This window comes from Homo sapiens, chromosome 10 (genome assembly GCF_000001405.40).
Source record: "Homo sapiens chromosome 10, GRCh38.p14 Primary Assembly".
Lineage (NCBI taxonomy): Eukaryota > Metazoa > Chordata > Mammalia > Primates > Hominidae > Homo > Homo sapiens.
In genome coordinates, this window is record NC_000010.11 from 21,985,404 (window position 1) to 22,004,735 (window position 19,332).

Here is a 19,332-nt window from a genome sequence, read left to right on the forward strand (position 1 = left end):
AGCACTCAGCTAATTTCGTATTTTTAGCAGAGGTGGGGTTTCACCATGTTGGCCAGGCTGATCCCGAACTCCTGACATCAAGTGATCCACCCACCTCAGCCTCCCAAAGTGCTGGGATTACAGGCGTGTGCCACCGTGCCCAGCCACCTGCTTTCCATCTCTATATATTATTTGCCTTTTCTGGACAGTTCAAATAACCGAAATCATACATGTAGTTGTTTTGAGTCTGAATCCTTTCACTTAACATAATGTTCTTGGAATTCATCCATGTTGTGGTTTATCCCAGAAGTTCTTTCTTTTTCTACCAAATATTAAATAGCATTGCACTGAATGGATACACCACATTTTGTTCATCCATTCAAGGGTGGCTAGGCATTTGGAATTGTTTCCAATTTTTGGCTAACATTATGAATAATGCTGCAATGAACACTCATGTACAAGTCTTTGTGTGGACAAATATTTTCACTTCTCTTCTGTGGATACCTAGGAGGAACTGAGATGAATGTTAAGTTTAACTTTTTTATTAAAAAAAAAACTGCCACGGCCGGGCACGGTGGCTCACGCCTGTAATCCCAGCACTCTGGGAAGCCGAGGCGGGCAGATCACCAGGTCAGGAGATGGAGACCATCCTAGCTAACAGGGTGAAACGCTGTCTCTACTAAAAATACAAAAAATTAGCCGGGTGTGGTGGCGGGTGCCTGTAGTCCCAGCTACTCGGGAGGCTGAGGCAGGAGAATGGCGTGAACCCGGGAGGCGGAGCTTGCAGTGAGCCACTGCACTCCAGCCTGGGTGACAAAGCGAGACTCCATCTCAAAAAAACAACTGCCACACTGTTTTCCAAAGTAGTTGCATTTTACCTTGCCACCATCGATGCATAAGTATTCCAGGTTTTCCACATCCTCACCAGTGCTTTTTACTGTCCTTCATGTTAATTACAGCTATGCTAGTGGGCATAATATGTTATCTCCTTATGGATTTAATTTGCATTTCTTTAATAACTACTACTATTGAGTACCTTTTCATGTGCTTATTAGCATTTGTATATCTTCTTGGGTAAGGTGTCTATTCAGATAGGTTTTTGGATTCTCTTTATTAGGTTGAGGAAATTACCTTCTATTCCTAGTTTGTTGAGAGTTTTCATCATTAATGAATGTTTGAGTCTTTCAAAAGTTTTATTCTCTATCTGGGATGATCATATTTTTCGTTCTTTATTCTATAAATATGTAATATTATATTAATCAATTTTTAGGTACTAAACCAACCTTGCATTCCTGGGATAAATTCCACTTGATCATGGTGTTTAATCCATTTTATATGTTGCTAGATTCAGCTTGCTAACACTTTGGCTGGGAAATTTTTTGTTTTTTTTGTTTTTTTTCTTGAGACAGAATCTTGCTCTTGTCACCCAGGCTGGAGTGCAATGGCGCGATCTCAGCTCACTGCAAACTCCGCCTCCCAGGTTCAAGCGATTCTCCTGCCTCAGCCTCCCGAGTAGTTGGGCTTATAGACAGCTGCCACCACACCCAACAATTTTTTGTATTTTTAGTAGAGACGGGGTTTCACCATGTTGGCCAGGCTGGTCTCAAACTCCTGACCTCAAGTGATCCACCCTCCTTGGCCACCCAAAGTGCTGGGATTAGGTGTGAGCCACCACGCCCAGCCCAATGTATAGTTTTTAACAATACATATCAATTCGGAAGCCAAATTTCTGATAGTTAAAGTGAAATAAATGAAATATAGTCTTATCCAAACAATAAAATTATGTTTAATGGGAAAACATTTTATACTCCCTCAGCTTTTCAAATTTTAAGTGAGTTAAAATCAAATACAATATAAAATTTAATGTTCTTAGTCTAGCCACATTTCAAGTGCTCTATAGCCACATGTGGCTATAGTGCTGGACAGTACAGCTCTAAACCTTTAAGCACTATGAGGATTTAAAGAGTAAATACAATAATATAGTTGGTTGTTCATTAGTATCTACAATATTTGAATTAAAGAGAGACAGTATATACAAAAGCTTTCAGAAGTGTAATACAAAGATTAGAGGCACTAAACTGTGGTCTCATCCTCAAGGTTAGCTTTCTTGGTCAGGATAACATGGTGTTTACCAGAATGTAGAATTATACCCACAGCTTACTGTAAGTATATTTGCAAGCACTTTTATTGATCATAGACAACAAATCTACTTCATTTAACCCAGGCTGTTTGAAAAAAAATTACCTCATTTAATTTCCCATTTATAACCTTCAATAGATTATAGGTTAAAGCCTTCAAAATATCCATATGATTTATCTCATAAACATGAAAACATTTGTTAATTTATCCAATGTGTTTTAATTGTACAACACTCTTCTTTCCAAAGTAATATAATCTACACGGATATATGTTAGTAATATTAGCAGAACTCTAAGTGAAATATTTGCCCCTAAATAGAATTCCACCAGTCCCACAATTCAAACTCTTCTCATTAGCCCATGTTTCTGACTTGCCCTTGTGCACATATAATCCTGCAAAATTACAATAAAATCTGAATACAACTTGATATTTGGCTTTTTTTCACTAACATTGTATGTATTTTCCATGTTGCTATGTAGTTTTCACATATATTACTACTGATTTCACAGCACACCAAGAATGTGTCATAATTTACTCAAATACACTCCTTATTATTAGAATTTATTTCTCATTCTTTACTATTTTACAGTAATACTGTAAAAAGAACTAATGAATTAACAAACATGAAAAGCAGGCTTTATTATCAAAATTTCTTAACATAATCTAAGTAGCTGTGCATATTCTATTGTGTCACAAAAACACAGAGGACTGGTACAGAGTATTGTTATCCATGTTAGAAAGGCATCAGCTGCCTATAAGTAAAAATGTCTTTTTAAAAGATCATTACACTACTGTTCTTTTCCATGTTGTTACCCTCAAAAGACCTCTTAGATTAACAACTCAATATTAAAGGCATATAATAATAATTAAAAAATCGATGTGCTCCTCAAATTATACAAAAACTGACTAAATCCTACGATTCCAAAATGAAAGGGCCCTTTATCTTCTCTTATAAATTTGAATTACATATTTCTTTCCTTAAAAATATATCATTTAAAGTATGTTCCAAATGTGTACTCTATAAACTGCTTAAAGCTTCAATTAAGGATCACGCTTAATTCTATGAAGCTAATATCCAATGAATTCTAAAATTTTAGTATTGTCCATTAAGTTGATTATTAAAACAGTCTTTAGTGAGGGTTAGCCTCATTGTCCTATGTTTTCTTTTGTGAATCTCTGAAGACTGATTATAAGAAAACAAATGTTATTTACCCCAGAAAGTCTTCTTCAGAGGTTTGTGAGTGAAATATATTTATAAAGGGTCAACATGAAATTATCTGCATATAATTTAACTTTAGGAGGATTAATTTTCTCTAGCCCATGTTTTTCTGACACGCACCTAAGATTCAATATCTCTTTTCCCACCTGGCAAATTTTTCTAAATAGTTTCACGACAGTTCAGGACTCTCCTCTGGGTATCTCCAATAACAGGGACATATATGTCATTCTGAGATAATGGACTTATTTATCACTATATTCAAAACCTCGTGGGATTTGATTATTTTAGAAATGCTACTTGACTGTTTTACCCCCAGACTTGAATAAAGTCTGGGAACAGTTGCTAGAAAGGAACAGGGATGGAATGGTAGACTGTCTCTTTCAATGCCTAATAGCCTCTTAAATTACTGTGAATAAACAACCTGACCATAGTTCTGGATGATAAGTGGCAAAAGGTTCTCAGATAATAAGAAAATGAACATTAAAAAATAATATTATAAAATAAATGTAGCTTTTAAAAATGTTCCAACATGAAAACTGCACTCTAAGTATTTGAGGGACTTCCTCCGAAACCCCATTCCAAACATATACCAATGTTAAAATTTAAAGAGAGAAAATTATAAACATATAGCCATGATCAAAAACTTGTTAAGCATCTCTGTAGACAAAAACAAAAGAAAACCTGTAGCCATAAACAGAGGTTAAGCTATAAGCCTCCTGGGCTCCATGACTACAAGTAGGCAGACGAAACCAGAAGTCTGACTCCCATAGAGTGATGAGGACTGAAAGTACTCTACCAAGGCCTGGGATCACAGCCAGGCTTGCTGCTTGAAATCAGGGGATGCAGTGGCAATCCACCGCCTGTGGGGAAAAAAAAATGCGAAAGTGAGAAGGACACTGCCTGAGGCTACAACTTACAAAACATTATGTATCTGAGATGTTAAGAGGCAATGGTTTTAGCCCCACAGTCCAGACCAGGCCAAGGGACCTGCAGGCTTGGTATCTGGATCTGCAATGGCCCCAATGTAACCTCAGGAGGGAGCCCTAAGCCACCTATATAAGACCTAGTTCTTGCCTAGGTGTCTCAGAGAAAAGAGTAAAAACATCTATAAAGCCACTAGGGAGAGGTGAAGAGAGAGGAGAGAGAAACTCACACTCAAGATGGGCCTGAAAATTAAAATTCCACTCGCAGAAACATAATATTTCAATTATCAAAGAGAAATTATTTACTTCACAGTTTAACCACCTATGTGCAATTCTTAACAATGCCAAAGTCTAAAACATTTTTATAACACAATGACAGGTTTGAAGCAGATACACAAACTGCACAACTATACACGGGGTGCTGCTTCAAGAGTCTATAGCAATTTCTGGCTACATTTTTAATTAAGTTTATTCTGTGGCCTCTATTATCAAAGATGGCATACAAGAAATCATCTTATTTTTCAATCTTCCATAAATTTCCTATTGCTGACTTTGATAAACCCTGGGAATTGTATATAGTAACCACAAATCATGCCTAATACAGTGCCAAGACAACTGTAACTATGGTGGCTTGCATCTTCTTTAGGGTGGCCTTGGTACATATCTAAAGACAATGAAAACAAGTAGCCCCCTCAGTTTGGATGTATTTTTTTTAAAAAAAGGCCTTACTGTGTGGAGAAAATCAACAAATAATTATTTCCCTTGTGCATTTTATTTTAAGGCACAAAGAAAAATTATTTAGAAGAAGTATATGTTCAGGGGTACTCCAGAAGACAGTGAGCATGTTGAAAGTAGATAAGAATTATGATTTGGGCTTTAAGAATAAAATTTCCACTGAGTAGTATTATACAAAAACTTAACAGGTTGTTTCATAATCCCTATGGTTAGACACCATCAAACAGGCTAGAAGACCATCTGCTGGGAGTGCTACAGAAGAGACTCCTATATAAGGAAAGAGAAACTCGTGAGGTCTCCACCAACTTCAGGACTCTATTGTCAGTTTTAAAATTTTTGTTTTGTTGTTGTTTTTCCCTCAGCATAGAATGTTTAAGATCTTGGACACCAGTACAATTTCCTGGATGTACCAAGTCCATTTGAAATAACAGGAGCTAAGTATGTGTAAGAACTGTCAACAGTAAAATCTACTTCTTTTTCTCAGCTATTTATGAAATTACAAAAGGTAAAGGCAAAAAGATCGTTAATTAATCATTCAGTTCAAAGTAAAGGTGTACTCATTAGGAGTTATGAAAAGGTAGCAGAGGCAGCTAGTAAAAAAGGGTGATGTTAGAATCCCTGATTGGTATTATAAAGAGCCAACAGATTGGCACACAAATAGAAATGCACCTAGCAATCTCTATTCTAAATCATTTAATTAAAGATACTATAATAATCAAAATAGATGACAGGAAAGAATATAGTGAATATTTCATAGCTAGCAATATATAAGATGTATGAGTTTCAGAATAGGGAGAATGGGCACCCTGAAAGCTAAAACTACAAAATAGGAACTCCAGTGATTTCCTGGTCAAAATATCACTAACGACCTAATATACTGTTAATAAATAACACTTAAAGAATTATAAAATATAATAGATGAGCTAGCAAAAGTAAATGACCAACTTTAATTAAAGTGATTACCTGAAACCACCCTTAGCAGACAAGCCTATGCATGGAAGTTCAGACAACCAATGTTCCTAGAACAGCATGAACTTTATACCAATAGCCTTTACAGAACAAAGCATGGTCAAAATGTATACTATAGATAAGTAACTAGGAATATGATAGCTAGCACAATTGGAACAACCTAAAAACAAAACAACAAAAGCTACACTGGGTTTAAAAAAATACGAAAACTACAAACTATGTCCCTAACAAAATGGAAACAATAGTCAGTGAAAAACAATAATCAGTGATTTTATCCAAAAACATTTAGCTATATCTACACAATACAGAAATGTTAATTCCCTAAGGCTATCCAATGTATGCTATCCAATAAGCATTAGGCATATTTAAGCACTTAAAATGTGCCAGTACAAATGAGAAACCAAAATTTTAATTAATTTATATTTAAATTGAAAAACTGATATTCTACTGAGTTACTGGAAAGTTTTGCTTATAACGATTTGGGTACGTGAATGTACCTGTTAGCTATATGCCTTATGAAATCTCAATACAGATCAAGTATTTTCAATCAAAATTTGGCTTCCAAATTAAGGTGTGCTAGAAGTATAAATGTAAAACATACACGGATTTTGCTGACTTAGTACAAAAAATTAAAATGTGAAATACTTCATTAATAATTTTTGGCTGGACATGGTGGCTCACGCCTGTAATCCCAGCACTCTGGGAGGCCAAGGTTGGCGGATCGCCTGACATCAGGAGTTCGAGACCAGCCTGACCAATATGGTGAAACCCCGTCTCTACTAAAAATGCAAAAATTAGCTGGGTGTGGTGGCATGTGCCCGTAGTCCCAGTTACTTGGGAGGCTGAGACAGGAGAATTGCTTGAATCCGGGAGGCGGAGGTTGCAGTGATCTGAGATCGTGCCATCGCACACCAGCCTGGGCGACAGAACGAGACTCTGTCTCAAAAAATAATAGTAATTTTTGAAAATGTGACTCCATGTTGGAATAATATTTTAGTATATTGGGTTAAATAAAATACATTATCAAAATTAATTTCAGGCTGGGCATGGTGGTGCACTCCTGTAATCCTAGCTACTAGGGAGGCTGAGGCAGGAGAATCGCTTGAACCCAGGAGAACGAGGTTGCAGTGAGCAGAGATTGTGCCACTGCACTCCAGCCTGAGCAACAGAGCAAGACTCCATTTCAAAAAAAAAAAAATTAAGTTCATCTGTTTTTTACATTCTTAAATGTGACTTTTAGAAAATTTAACATCACCTCTGTGTTTTGTATCACATATCTATTGCACAGTGCTGCTCTAAGGGATCAATGGCTTGAAAAAGTGTGTCAGCTGTCAAAAATCTGAAATATCTGTCAGTCATGATTTATATGTAAAATATTATCTTATCCCTTAGTGTCACAAAATATTTCTTTAGGCTACCCAGAATTTGAATATTTATACATTTCAAAGTCATCTGTATCCTCTTCATACAGTGGATCGTTACAGATCATTAAAGTATTACTCTGGAGTTATTGTAAACTTTGGTAACATTTAATGGCCATTCTGACATCCAGGCTAAGTAATCAAGTAAAGAATGCTAATTAATCAAAGACTTATTGATTTCGTCTCTATCTAAATTCCCTCGGCCATACTTTAACAATACTTTTGTTTCTACGAGAGCTAAACAAGGATCTTTAGTATAGGAAACATTTTGATAAGAATCATTTTATAAAACAATTTTATGTTTACATATATACTTTTATATTTACCATATATATATACTTTACAAGCTGAACATTTTATACTCATAAATTTATATACTCAGCCTATACACTCATAAATTTATAAATATATTTACTATACACACATAAGTATATAAATGCATACGCACACACACCTGCACCCTCTCGCTCATAAATTTTCCCCTGGAAGAAAAGCATCAGAACTGCATGCCTTAGCAGTGCTTTCCCAACCTCTTTCATACCATGGCACGTTACAGAAAATTGTATTTGTAAGACACACTGGAGGAAACTGTTAAGGCTGCTCAAGGCAGGGCATCACTATCTCAGCATGCTTGCAGCACACCAATTGGGAAGCTCGGTCTTAAAAGGCCCTGCAAAATACTGCAAGAACTCTCTGACTCGTATTTTGTTTTCGTCTGTCTCATATTTTATTCTTACTTATGCCTACAGTTGTGAAAATACAACCCCTCAACATTTTTAATAGCAATATCCAAAGAAGGCCACAAGATGGAGATATTACTCCATTTTCATTTATATTTGTATTTATGCATTTTTTCTGTATACGTTTCTATGTGTATCCTGCTTTCTTCCTCAGTGGTATTCTCAGCTACTACCTCTATCTCTAACATTATTCTAATTCCTCTGCCACTCGGTTTTAACTTGCTTTATTATAGAAATATATAATGAATACTATCATGATCTTTGTTTTTAATATTAAAAGCAGGCAGATAATTGAAATATTTTCTTCTAGCTCTATATTTTCCCACTTCTCTAAAATTAAGATCACTTTTTTTTTACCCATTTTTATCCTGCGGGCAAACTTTTTTTAAAAAAATTGCTACCCACGAAGTAATAAGTAGTCCAAGAGTCATTTGCTCTAATACTTTCTACTACCTTGTAAAGCTACAGATTTATTACTTTGTGTCAATATCACTCAAAACTTCTCTGGGACTTTTCTTTGAGAACAGTCCTCAAGGCAGTCTATCAGCATTACATGAAATGTATATTCAGATCTTTTTATCAATACAAAGTATTTATCCGAGCTTGCTAACCTAATTTAGTCACCAAATTTAGCTCCAAATGACTGTTAGCTATAGCCAAAAATCAAACCCAACTTTAAGATTTACTACTAATGAGGCTAATGTGAAGAATATGCAGCAAGCTTTGAAGGCAATTCAAAACAAGAAGCTTCAGTGATGTTTTAAGAGACAGCAGCATGTTGAAAAACTGTGAAGCTTTCCACAATAAACACTTGCAAAATCAATCTAATTTACTTTAAGTTAAATCTTATATACTTCCAAACGTGTGATATAAAAAGTCACTCATTGATTGTGTAAAACTACTATAGAACTGCACAACATGGCTGTCATTTGAACTTTATCAAATGTCTAAACTAAAATGCTTTAAACATAAGAAGTTGGCCAGGCGCGGTGGCTCACACCTGTAATCCCAGCACTTTGGGAGGCCGAGACAGGTGGATCACGAGGTCAGGAGATCAAGACCATTCTGGCTAACACGGTGAAACCCCGTCTCCACTAAAAATACAAAAAAAAATTAGACAGGCATGGTGGCGGGCGCCTGTAGTCCCAGCTACTGGGGAGGCTGAGGCAGGAGAATGGCATGAATCCGGGAGGCAGAGCTTGCAGTAAGCCGAGATCGCGCCACTGCACTCCAGCCTGGGTGACAAAGCGAGACTCTGTCTCAAAACAAACAAACAAAAAAACACACAAGAAGTCTATTTCCTACTACATATAAAAGATCCATAAAGAAATATTGTATGATATAATTAAAACACAATTTCCAGACTTCCTACTTTATATATATTTATATTATATATACTTATATATTAATATATTATATATATTTATACATGTTAACTTCCGCAAATCAAACTTAATCACCAACTATCAATACAAAGCACCACTTTAAGTCAGAAAAGAACCTAAATAGTAATCTTATCTGTTAACGAAAAGTGTGGTAATTGAAAATAACTGCCAATAAGATTTGCAATTAAAAAAAATTTTCTAAAAGTCAGAGGTTTCTTTTTAAAGTATAAATTCAGTTGGTCATGGAATAGATTCCTTAACCTGACCTGTTTTAATGGTATAAATAAAGTCCTTAAGTATTGACTAGAAATAAGAAGTTTCTACCTTCCTCATGTGTACGGACCCTAAGATTTCTTCATGGTCTATTCATACTTTCCCAGTAAATGGCAACAATGATCTTTTTCTTTCTGGTCATAACTCATTTTGACTACTGCTCACTATACAGGCCACAGTTGAGTTTCATGTAACAGTTTAAAATTCTATTTCCTTCTATAACCAGGAGTTGTATGTATTCCAGAATGTGTTTAACCAAGGAAATTACGTCATTTTAGAATTCTAGTATTTGCTCTTAGTGGCATCTTAACGTTGCTCTTCTCCATTTTAACACTGCTGCATATACTATGGCATGTCCTTTAATTCTTGATCTTAGATTATTAGCTTTAATATTAAGCAACTCAAATATATTAGTTAACTGTGTAGCTGCACAGAGCTTAATGCCTACTGCCTCAGTAGCAATAAAACAGGCATCCATCTGATAATGAAGTATACTGTTTTATACACATATTCTAACAAAAATGTAGAACGTGGCATGCCCTTGCTTTTGCAATATGCCTGGTTACATGTGAGATTTCAGTTGCTGGATGATGTAATCAGAAACACTTATCAAATATGGTGAATGAATCCTCACCTTGCTTAATTTAGTATTACATAAGATGGGAAATGAAACATAAATTCTAGATTAAATTTCTAATTAGGTCCTTATGACACGCTTAGACAAAAAATTTCAGTAAATATAAGTAATACTCAAATATCAACTATTCAGTTCTTAAAATGAAATACTATGCTGTTATTTAAAACATGTAATCATATTTTTACATTCATTAGTATAGGGCCCATCTTTTACAATTAAGTGTTTTGATGAAAATAAAGATTTTTGAAAATATGACTGTGACTTCATTATAAAATGATCTAGGGTCCTGCTTCATCCAATCAGAAATCTCTCTTTCCACTGCAATTCCTTTCCTTTATTTTTGTATAACTCTGTAAGAAAGGCTTTGGAATTGTTTTCAACTAGGTGGAATTAACTGGTATCATTACTGTCTAAACAGACCCAATAATGCCCACAGTGGAAAACAGTTCTGAAAGTCACATAGTACCATTTATGGAATAAGCAGTTCACTGAGAGAGAGCATAACAAAGCTGAGAAAAGGTTTATTACAGACACTAGGCATTTTATCAAACAACTTTTATTGGCATTACTTACAACTGCCATATAAATTCTCCTCTCAGCAATCAAGTCAAATAACCTCAACCTCTGTTTTATTCTCAACATTGAACAAAATATGATTGTGAAATTAACCACATTAAACCAATCACTAGGTAAACTGGTAACCCATATAACGTTTTAGAATATATTTCTAGGAATAATTGTAATAGCAGAAGCCATTCCACTTTCCCAGTTCAACTTAGGCTATTGTCTATGAATAACAAAAGATACAATATTCTAAGAGTGTTCTCATAATTAGTGTAAAGAAAAAACTGAGAATAGCATAAAAGGAAAAAGGAAACTTAAAACTAAAAGAAAGTCTCTGTTCCATCAGCTCTAGATTATATGTGGCAAAATTTTCACAATAGACTTGCTTTATCCCATAAAATTGGCTCAGGCATCTTCCACTAAACTATACATATCACAAAAAGAGTGTGTACATAAGAAAACTAATTTTATGATAATTCTATCTGATGCAAAGATGTATACAATTAAACAAGTACTTATTCAGCTCTAACGCTATGCATGCCTACATCAGAAATATAAATGACTGAAAGGTTATCTACCATTCTAGATTCTGTGTATCTCTTTCTCCAAATTAAAAAAAATTGGATTCTACAATAAAAATGGGGAAGCTATTATTACACAACACACATGTACAAAGGAATAGACTCCACAGAGAAAGACTGAACTACACTCAACACCACAAGCTCAGTGGATTCCACTGCAAGAATCACTGGACAAAATTGATAATCACAGTACAAATTCACCATCATTCATGAATGAAATCATCATCTTCATTTCTAAAAAGGACTGTGATGGGCTTTAGGGAGGCCCCATTAACTGGTTTTTCCCATCCAAAAAACTGAGTGGACACAGGAGTCGGGCAGACAAGAGATGAACCTTTATAACTGATACAGCTATTGAAGAATACAGGTTAAATGTGATGGCCAAATGGGCTTGCTAGCAATTTGTGCCCTCTCCTCTACATTCTAGACTTTGAGACAGTATGCTCAAGGGTAAGTCTGGTTAGGATAATTGCCTTACTGGTCTGGGCAGAGAGGTGCAAAGAGACTGATTCCCACTACTCATAGCTTTCTGACTGATCAGCTCTTCCTAATCAAGCAAAACAGAGCAAAGGCAATCACCCTCCAGTAAGGTAACTCACACCGCCATGGTAAGATGTTAGAGATGGGTCTAGTGATCAGTGGTGTTTTTTTAGGGAAGTTCCTCCCAACCATGGGGCACGGATGAATGGGCAATAATTGTCCCTCCTCTAAACAGGCTAGCTAATCTGTACATTTGAAAATACAGGCCGAATGAGCTTAAAAGGTTTATTAATTCCTATCTAAAAATTAAAATCCAAATATTTTATAAGCACATCCCTGTTCTTCTGCTTTTCTTCTGTTAACCAAGTTTCAGCATTCATTTGAATATAAGGATTTAGTTATAAAACACGAGAGAAAGAGAATGAAGCACATTTTCTAGCTACATAAATAGAAGTCTGTAATGACTGACTGGCACCATGAAGACAAATCTTGACTTCAGCATAAAGTAAATACTACAAAATTTAAGATAATTTAGCTTGTCATTATTTCAATTCACAGATTTTTTTAAATGAATATGAAGTGTTTACTGTTGGCTAGAATTACTGTATACAAAGGATAAGGAAAGTCATGGTCCCAAAAGACAATTAAAAGAAATATAGAGGCTGGGCGCAGTGGTTCACGCCTGTAATCCCAACACTTTGGGAGGCCGAGGTGGGTGGATCACCTGAGGTCAGGAGTGCAAGATCGGCCTGACCAACATGGCGAAACCCCATCTCTACTAAAAATACAAAATTAGCCAGGCATGGTGGCAGGTGCCTGTAATCCCAGCTACTCGGGAGGCTGAGGCAGGAGAATCGCGTGAACCCAGGAGGCAGAGGTTGCAATGAGCCAAGATCGCGCCACTGCACTCCAGCCTGGGCGACAGAGCAAGACTCCATCTCAAAAAAAAAAAAAAAAAAAAGAAATACAGAATTGCCACTGACCCCACAAGAAGTACAGGTGTCTGAGAAGCAGGTGCTGTTACACAAAATATAAATACTGTGCAGGAACCTATAATTTAAGATGGTAACGAAAGATCTTTCAATAGCACATCTTTTTTCCTACACTCCTCTCTCATCTTCCCCCCATCTCCTCTGAAAAGATGCAATATCCAAATTGGAGTGCCCTATTATTAAAGTCATTCTAAACATGGTATGAATGACTAATAAATCATCTGTATATACCCCCCAACAAAGACTTCTGCAACCCCTTTCTAGACTTCTAGAATGGACGTGAAATCTAAGGATACATGGAAGAAGATTCTTCTGCTGCCTGAAGGCTGTGAAAGATTACATAGAAGTAAAATCTGTTGAGTAAAAACTGTCAAGCAACTACTTGTTTGGGGAATTACAGTTTGCATTTAGTTACAATGTTTATAATGTTTGATTCAATAAATATTTAGGTGTTTACTATGTGCCTTACTATGAAGAAAATAAAAAGCTACCATCTGTCCTAAAAATGAGGCAACTAACTTGTCCAAGGTCATAAGGTGGTCTGGTCCAAGTTCTAAGTCATCTGTTATTCAGATTATAGAGCTTAGAGAGTAACTGAGTTATCTTATACCTGGTGGATAAGGGGATAAAGAAGATGCCACAGACAGTCACTACCATCTCTGCCTTCTAGTTTAGGATATGGATATCTCAAAAGAATGTTCTATATTAATTGTCTCCAATTCTTCCCTTTCATTCTCTCCTGAACCCAATCTACCCAGACTACTGAACTCACCACTTCACCAAAACAGTTCTTACTGAGGTAGCCTGTGACCGCCATACGGTTAATTCCAACGGTGAAGTCTCAAAGCTCATCTTATTTGAATCATCATCATCATTTAACCCAGCTGATCCCTTTGTCTTTGAAACACTTTTTTCACTTGACTGAAGAGAACCTTGTATTGGTTTGCCTCCTACCTTACTGGTCGTTCCTGCTCTATCTTCTTTGTTGATTCCCCTCCATCTTCTTGACTCTTTTTTTTTTTTTTTTTTTTTTGAGACGGAGTCTCGCTCTGTCGCCCAGGCTGGAGTGCAGTGGCACAATCTTGGCTCACTGCAACCTCCGCCTCCCGGGTTCAAGCAGTTCTCTACCTCAGCCTCCCGAGTAGCTGGGATTCCAGGCGCCTGCCACCACGCCTGGCTAATTTTTATCTTTTTAGTAGAAACGGGGTTTTACCATGTTGGCCAGGCTGGTCTTGAACTCCTGACCTCGTGATCCACCCGCCTCAGCCTCCCAAAGTGCTGGGATTACAGGCGTGAGCCACCACACCCGGCTCCTTGACTCTTAAAGTCTGGAATCCCCAAGGCTTATTAGCTCCCAGATCTCTTCTCTTCTCTTTTACGTTCACTCCCTTGGTGAACTCATCCAGTTTTGTGGCTTCAAGTTACTCTCTAAGTGCCTCGGACTCCCAAATTCCTATCTACAGCCCTAAACTTTCTTCTTGTAACTCTACACCTGAATAACCAATTGCCTACATACCAGCTCAACTTCAACGTTTAACAGACACCCCAAATTTAGCATGTCCGTAAACCAAATTCCTGATGTTCTCCAAACCAGGCTCCTAGTCCAGGTTTCTCCATCTCAACAAATGGCAATTGCATCCTTCCAGTTACTGAAGCCAAAAATCTTTAGAATTATCTTCAGTTTCTCTTTTTCTCTCGCATACCACATTCAAGCCATCAGTAAAATTCTGTTTGCTCCATGTTGAAATTCAATCCAGAATCTGACCATTTTGCACCACCTCCACTGCTACCACCCAGGTCCAATCTATACCACAATTATCCCTCTAAGTAACTAATGCCTCACAGACTATACTCAGTACACTAAAGAGATCATTTTGAAATTCAAGTCAAATCATGTATCTTTTCTGTTCAAACACCACCTCCCCCAACTTACTTATAAGTAAAAGCCGAAGTCCTTACAATGGCCTACAAAGCCCTACATGGTCTTCCCTTACCACCTATGACTCAGATCTTGTCTCCTATTGCTGTTCTCCCATTACTGTTTTCCTTGATCACTCTGCTCCAGCCACACTGCCTGCCTTGCTATTCCTCAAACGCTAAGCAAGCTCTTGCCTCCTGGCCTTTGTGCTTACTGTCTGCTCTTCCTTGAATGTCCTTCTACCATGCTATGGTCTGAATGTTTTTGTCCTTCGAAATTCTTATGTTGAAATCTAATCCCCATTGTGACAGTAATACAAGGTGGGGCCTCTGTGAGGTGATTATATCACGAAGGTGGAGTCCTAATGGATGAGATTAGTGTCCTTATAAAAGAAGCCCCAGAGAGCTGCCCTGCCCGTACCACCATGTGAGGACACAGCAAGAAGGTGCCATCTATGACCAGAAGGCCCTCACCAGACACAGAATCTGCCGGTGCCTTAATCTTGGATTTCCCAGCCTCCAGAATTGTGAGAAATCAAGTTCTCCTGTTGAAAAGCTGTCCAGTTCATGGCATTTTGCTATGGCAGCCCAAATGGCCTACAACACAACAATTACCCACATGGCTTACTCCCTAACTTCTCTCAGAGGCCTGCTCTGACCATATAACATTTATATTTACTTACTTGGCTGTTTACTGTCTGTTTCTCCCTACTGAATTATAAGCTTAGGGGTTTTGTTTTATATAAAGGTCAACTCCCAATGCTTAAAATCCAATAGGCACCAAACAAATCTCTGTTGCGTGAACAAGAAGAGATTAGTGCACAGAGCCAGGTCACCACTTTCAGCAGCCTACCTACTTTGTTCTGGTCCCTCATGTTTGGCTAGTCACCAAATGGCTCTGGCTTGAAAACTACACATGAAAGACCCTGGACAGGTTGCATTTGTCTCCACCAAATTTCTGGTCCCTGAAAGTCATCTAACAAAGTTAAGATTCAATGTAAAGAAAAAAACTTGTTCCATTCAGTTTCTCTGCTTGGACAGAATAAAATTCCTCCTGGCATTCTTTCCAATTTTAATACAGCTGGATAGAGAAACACAGGTTAAAACAATTTTCTGGATCCTTCTTTTCGGATTCTACCTTGACAAAGAATCTTCTTGATTATCTATGCTTCTTTATTTTCTCATCTTTGCCCAGAGAGTCAAGTGCTCTGGTTGTTCACACTGCCTAATTAACTATGCAAATCAAGTTACATGAAATTATAAATGAAAATTCTATGAGTGTTCACATGCAAAGCTAGATTACATGATCTAAATTTTAAACTGCTACTAAATTTCTGTTCTCTTAAAGGCACTTAATTTTTCATGAATAACTGGATCTTCAAGATTTCTGGATAGATTATGTTTAAGACTCTCTTTACGTACAGAATGTAATCAATGATAAATTCTAATTATTCCCAGTATTAAAGTAGTTCTTAAAAGTCATCAGAGCTTCACTAATTATTTTTACACATACTCCATCATTTGCTTTGAAAATGAGATATATAGTGTATCTATAAGCAGGGAGGGGCACCAGGCAACAGATCATAAATATAGTTATTACAAAGTTGCTTGCACATATGAATCTGAAGTGTGAAATGCCTATACTTTATAACTCTTACAAAAATAAAAAATTGTTTCACTCATGGTACCCTGGCAACCCAGCAATTTTATATTCACTGATGGAATGAAAATGCAATGTCTGAAAATTAAAATTCAGTAAAAGTTCAATAGTTCACCCACATTTATGATAACCTATGGGGGAAGGGGATGTGCATTTCATATCTAGTCATGTGAAGTGTGCCTTGAATGGCAACTATCGTAAACATTAATTTTTTACTCCCATAACTATTCAAAGCATTGTACGAAGGGCTCAATCAGATCGTGTGAAGTGTACATTTTTCACCCCATAAGCCTGAAATCAGCGAAATGTTATCTTCTCCTTCGCACAAGGCTTCAGGTAGAGACTGGATATCTACCCTCACTCAACCACCCTCAATGGTAGAACTAAAAAGCAACAAATGGATTTTACAAGTTAATGTCTTAAGCTATAGAAGAAAACGAAATGAAACAAAAGGAAAAGGGGAAAAAAAAACCCATTCCTACATTACTGACCGGGGGCTTCTCTTCCAATCGCATCCCAAGTCCTTTGCTGCTCAAAAAACTTAACACCTCCAACCTGGTTAGACGCTTCAAATTCCTCCAGATTTCTAAACTGCGAAAGCGAAACAAACATCTACCTAACAGGCTAAAAAGATGACGAAGTACAAAGTAAGAAAAACTTTTGCAACACAGACACTGGCCACAGTGCATTCCTACTTTCCCAGAAGGGAAGAGGAGGGGAGGCAGCTGAAATAAGAATAAGGATGAGGTAAGTATCGGTGGAAGATGACAGTTTAGGGTGAGAAGCGGCTGCTCTTTCTCACATTCAGGGGGACAGGAAGGCAAAAGGTAGGTGTTAAATTAAAAAAAAAAAAAAGTCTACCCACACCACTCTTCGTTCTTCCTCCAGCACAGCTGGAGGGGGAAGGCTCTTCCCCAGAACGCCGGAGCAGAGAGAAGGCATCGCCACCCTAGGCTAGTGGCGCCGTCCAGCCTGTCACTGGGGCTGGGACTAGAAAAGTTGAAGCAGGAGTAAAGATCTGGGGAAGACGGACACGTCCTTCCAAGGCTGAGGACCCCGGTGACCCGAGCTGAGGGCAGCCAGAGCCCGGGGTGACCAAGCCCTGCCCTACGTGTCCGGCTGTCTCTGAGGAACCGGGTCGCCTGACGCCTGCCCTGGCCCCTCTCCGCCCGGCCCCGCGCGCCTCCTTGCTTACCTGCTGCACCCCGAGGAACTGGTAGAAGTTGAGCTGCACCTCCTCCACTAAGTCAAACAACTCCAGGTCTCCGCTCTCCCAGCCGCGCGCCGGCGCCACGGCGGCCAGCAGCAGCAGCAGCAGCCACAGCAGCGGCGTCCGCGGCGGCGGCGGCGGGAACGGCACCAGCCCGAGCTGGCGGCGTCCAGGAAGCTGCGCCGGCTGGGAGCAAGGAGCCGTCATCGCGCTGGGCTCGGAAAGGTCACCCGCCGCGCAGCTCCGTTGGCCGAGAGCTGGGACGTGGCGGGCGGCGCTGGCTGTGGGGAACAGCGCCTGTCAGTGAAAAGCGCGGGCAGGCGCACCGGAGCGGCCCGCCAGGTGGCTGGCCCCAGACAGAGCGCGGAGGCGGCGGGAGCCGGCTGCCGGACGGGCGGGTGGGTAGGCGGGCGGGGCCGCAGCCAGCGCTACGTTCCGAAGACCCTCGCCCCCAGGCCTACACACAGCTGTAGAGGCAGCGCCCGGCGCCTGGGCTGCACAGTGGGTGAGGCTTCCCTTCGCCTCAGCCTATCCCAGGCCTCGCTTCCGGTGACATCATGTCTCCTAGCAACCGCGGGAAGGGGGCGTGGCCGGAAGCCTGGACGCCTGGCGCCCCAGATCTGGGCCTGGGTGAAATGCCTCTCAATCACTGGCGCGCACGGAGCAGCTGTACCTGCGCCCACATGGGCTGAGAGACAGGGACGGTTATAGCCATCTCGCGTCCATCTGGAACGCCCCACGTGGACTTCCCCTGAAATAGCTACTGTCTTCCTCTCCCCTAGCTATCGAACACTAAAAGCATATTTGAAGCCTGATTAATTGATTATGGCTTCCATGCATTTAATTAGTCCATCAGCAAAGAAGACAGGACAAGTTGAACCAGGTTCTAAAAGGGGCAAATCTAGTAAGTAGAGAGAGGTAGAGCAGAAAAGGAATTGAAACCAAAACAAAAAGTATACTTCTAATTATGAATTAAGATTTACAGGCATAATACCATAAAATGACCTGGTAGAATTAACAGTTAATAATGGTGACTCAATCATAGTTGGAGGAGAAATGTAGTTTATCCACCTTAGCCCACCTCCAGTTGGGGTTCCTTTGAAAACAGACCTCAATTGAGATGTTTCTGTTTTAAAAGACAGGCTAAAAACCTCCTCTCCCATAACAATGTCTCACCTTCTAGTCTTGCATTGCTTCTGTTCAAGCTCTTTTCAAGTTATTTTCTCCACCACAATTCTCTTGTGTGGACTTTATTATTGTGTGCTTAGCACAATGCATAGCACATGAGAGCACTCAATTAGTTGAACTGAATCCTGTGACTACCTCCCTACCACCATTCCCCCTACCACAGATTTTTAGTTTATTTATTTATTTATTTAGAGACGGAGTTTTGCTCTTGTTGCACAGGCTGGAGTGCAATGACACCATCTCGGCTCACTGCAACCTCTGCCTCCCACGTTCAAGCAATTCTCCTGGCTCAGCCTCCCGAGTAGCTAGGATTACAGACT

The 19,332-nt window shown here is 38.9% G+C and overlaps 1 protein-coding gene across 4 annotated transcripts in view, besides 6 other annotated features; it reads right to left on the minus strand.

The window, feature by feature from the left end:
- The window catches only part of DNAJC1 (DnaJ heat shock protein family (Hsp40) member C1), a 247,183-nt gene extending 228,856 nt beyond the window's left edge, over window positions 1-18,327 (minus strand). For all 4 annotated transcript variants that reach the window (NM_022365.4, XM_011519614.4, XM_047425628.1 and 1 more), the window contains exon 1: window positions 17,810-18,327. In NM_022365.4, coding sequence (NP_071760.2) covers window positions 17,810-18,031 — 222 coding nt within the window. In that variant the 5' untranslated portion in view covers window positions 18,032-18,327. The remainder of the gene's footprint in view (window positions 1-17,809) is intronic.
- Window positions 4,142-4,291: an enhancer, noted in NCBI's record as "active region_3124". NCBI's record gives its function as "activates an Ori minimal core promoter by ATAC-STARR-seq in GM12878 lymphoblastoid cells {active_cell/tissue: GM12878}" and the evidence as "EXISTENCE:reporter gene assay evidence [ECO:0000049][PMID:35858748]".
- Window positions 17,961-18,330: a silencer, noted in NCBI's record as "silent region_2199". NCBI's record gives its function as "represses an Ori minimal core promoter by ATAC-STARR-seq in GM12878 lymphoblastoid cells {active_cell/tissue: GM12878}" and the evidence as "EXISTENCE:reporter gene assay evidence [ECO:0000049][PMID:35858748]".
- Window positions 17,961-18,580: a biological region, named in NCBI's record as "H3K27ac hESC enhancer GRCh37_chr10:22292323-22292823".
- Window positions 17,991-18,491: an enhancer, noted in NCBI's record as "H3K27ac hESC enhancer chr10:22292323-22292823 (GRCh37/hg19 assembly coordinates)". NCBI's record gives its function as "activates a minimal SCP1, AML or CMV promoter by ChIP-STARR-seq in primed H9 embryonic stem cells {active_cell/tissue: H9 hESC(primed)}" and the evidence as "EXISTENCE:reporter gene assay evidence [ECO:0000049][PMID:30033119]".
- Window positions 18,371-18,420: an enhancer, noted in NCBI's record as "active region_3125". NCBI's record gives its function as "activates an Ori minimal core promoter by ATAC-STARR-seq in GM12878 lymphoblastoid cells {active_cell/tissue: GM12878}" and the evidence as "EXISTENCE:reporter gene assay evidence [ECO:0000049][PMID:35858748]".
- Window positions 18,451-18,580: an enhancer, noted in NCBI's record as "active region_3126". NCBI's record gives its function as "activates an Ori minimal core promoter by ATAC-STARR-seq in GM12878 lymphoblastoid cells {active_cell/tissue: GM12878}" and the evidence as "EXISTENCE:reporter gene assay evidence [ECO:0000049][PMID:35858748]".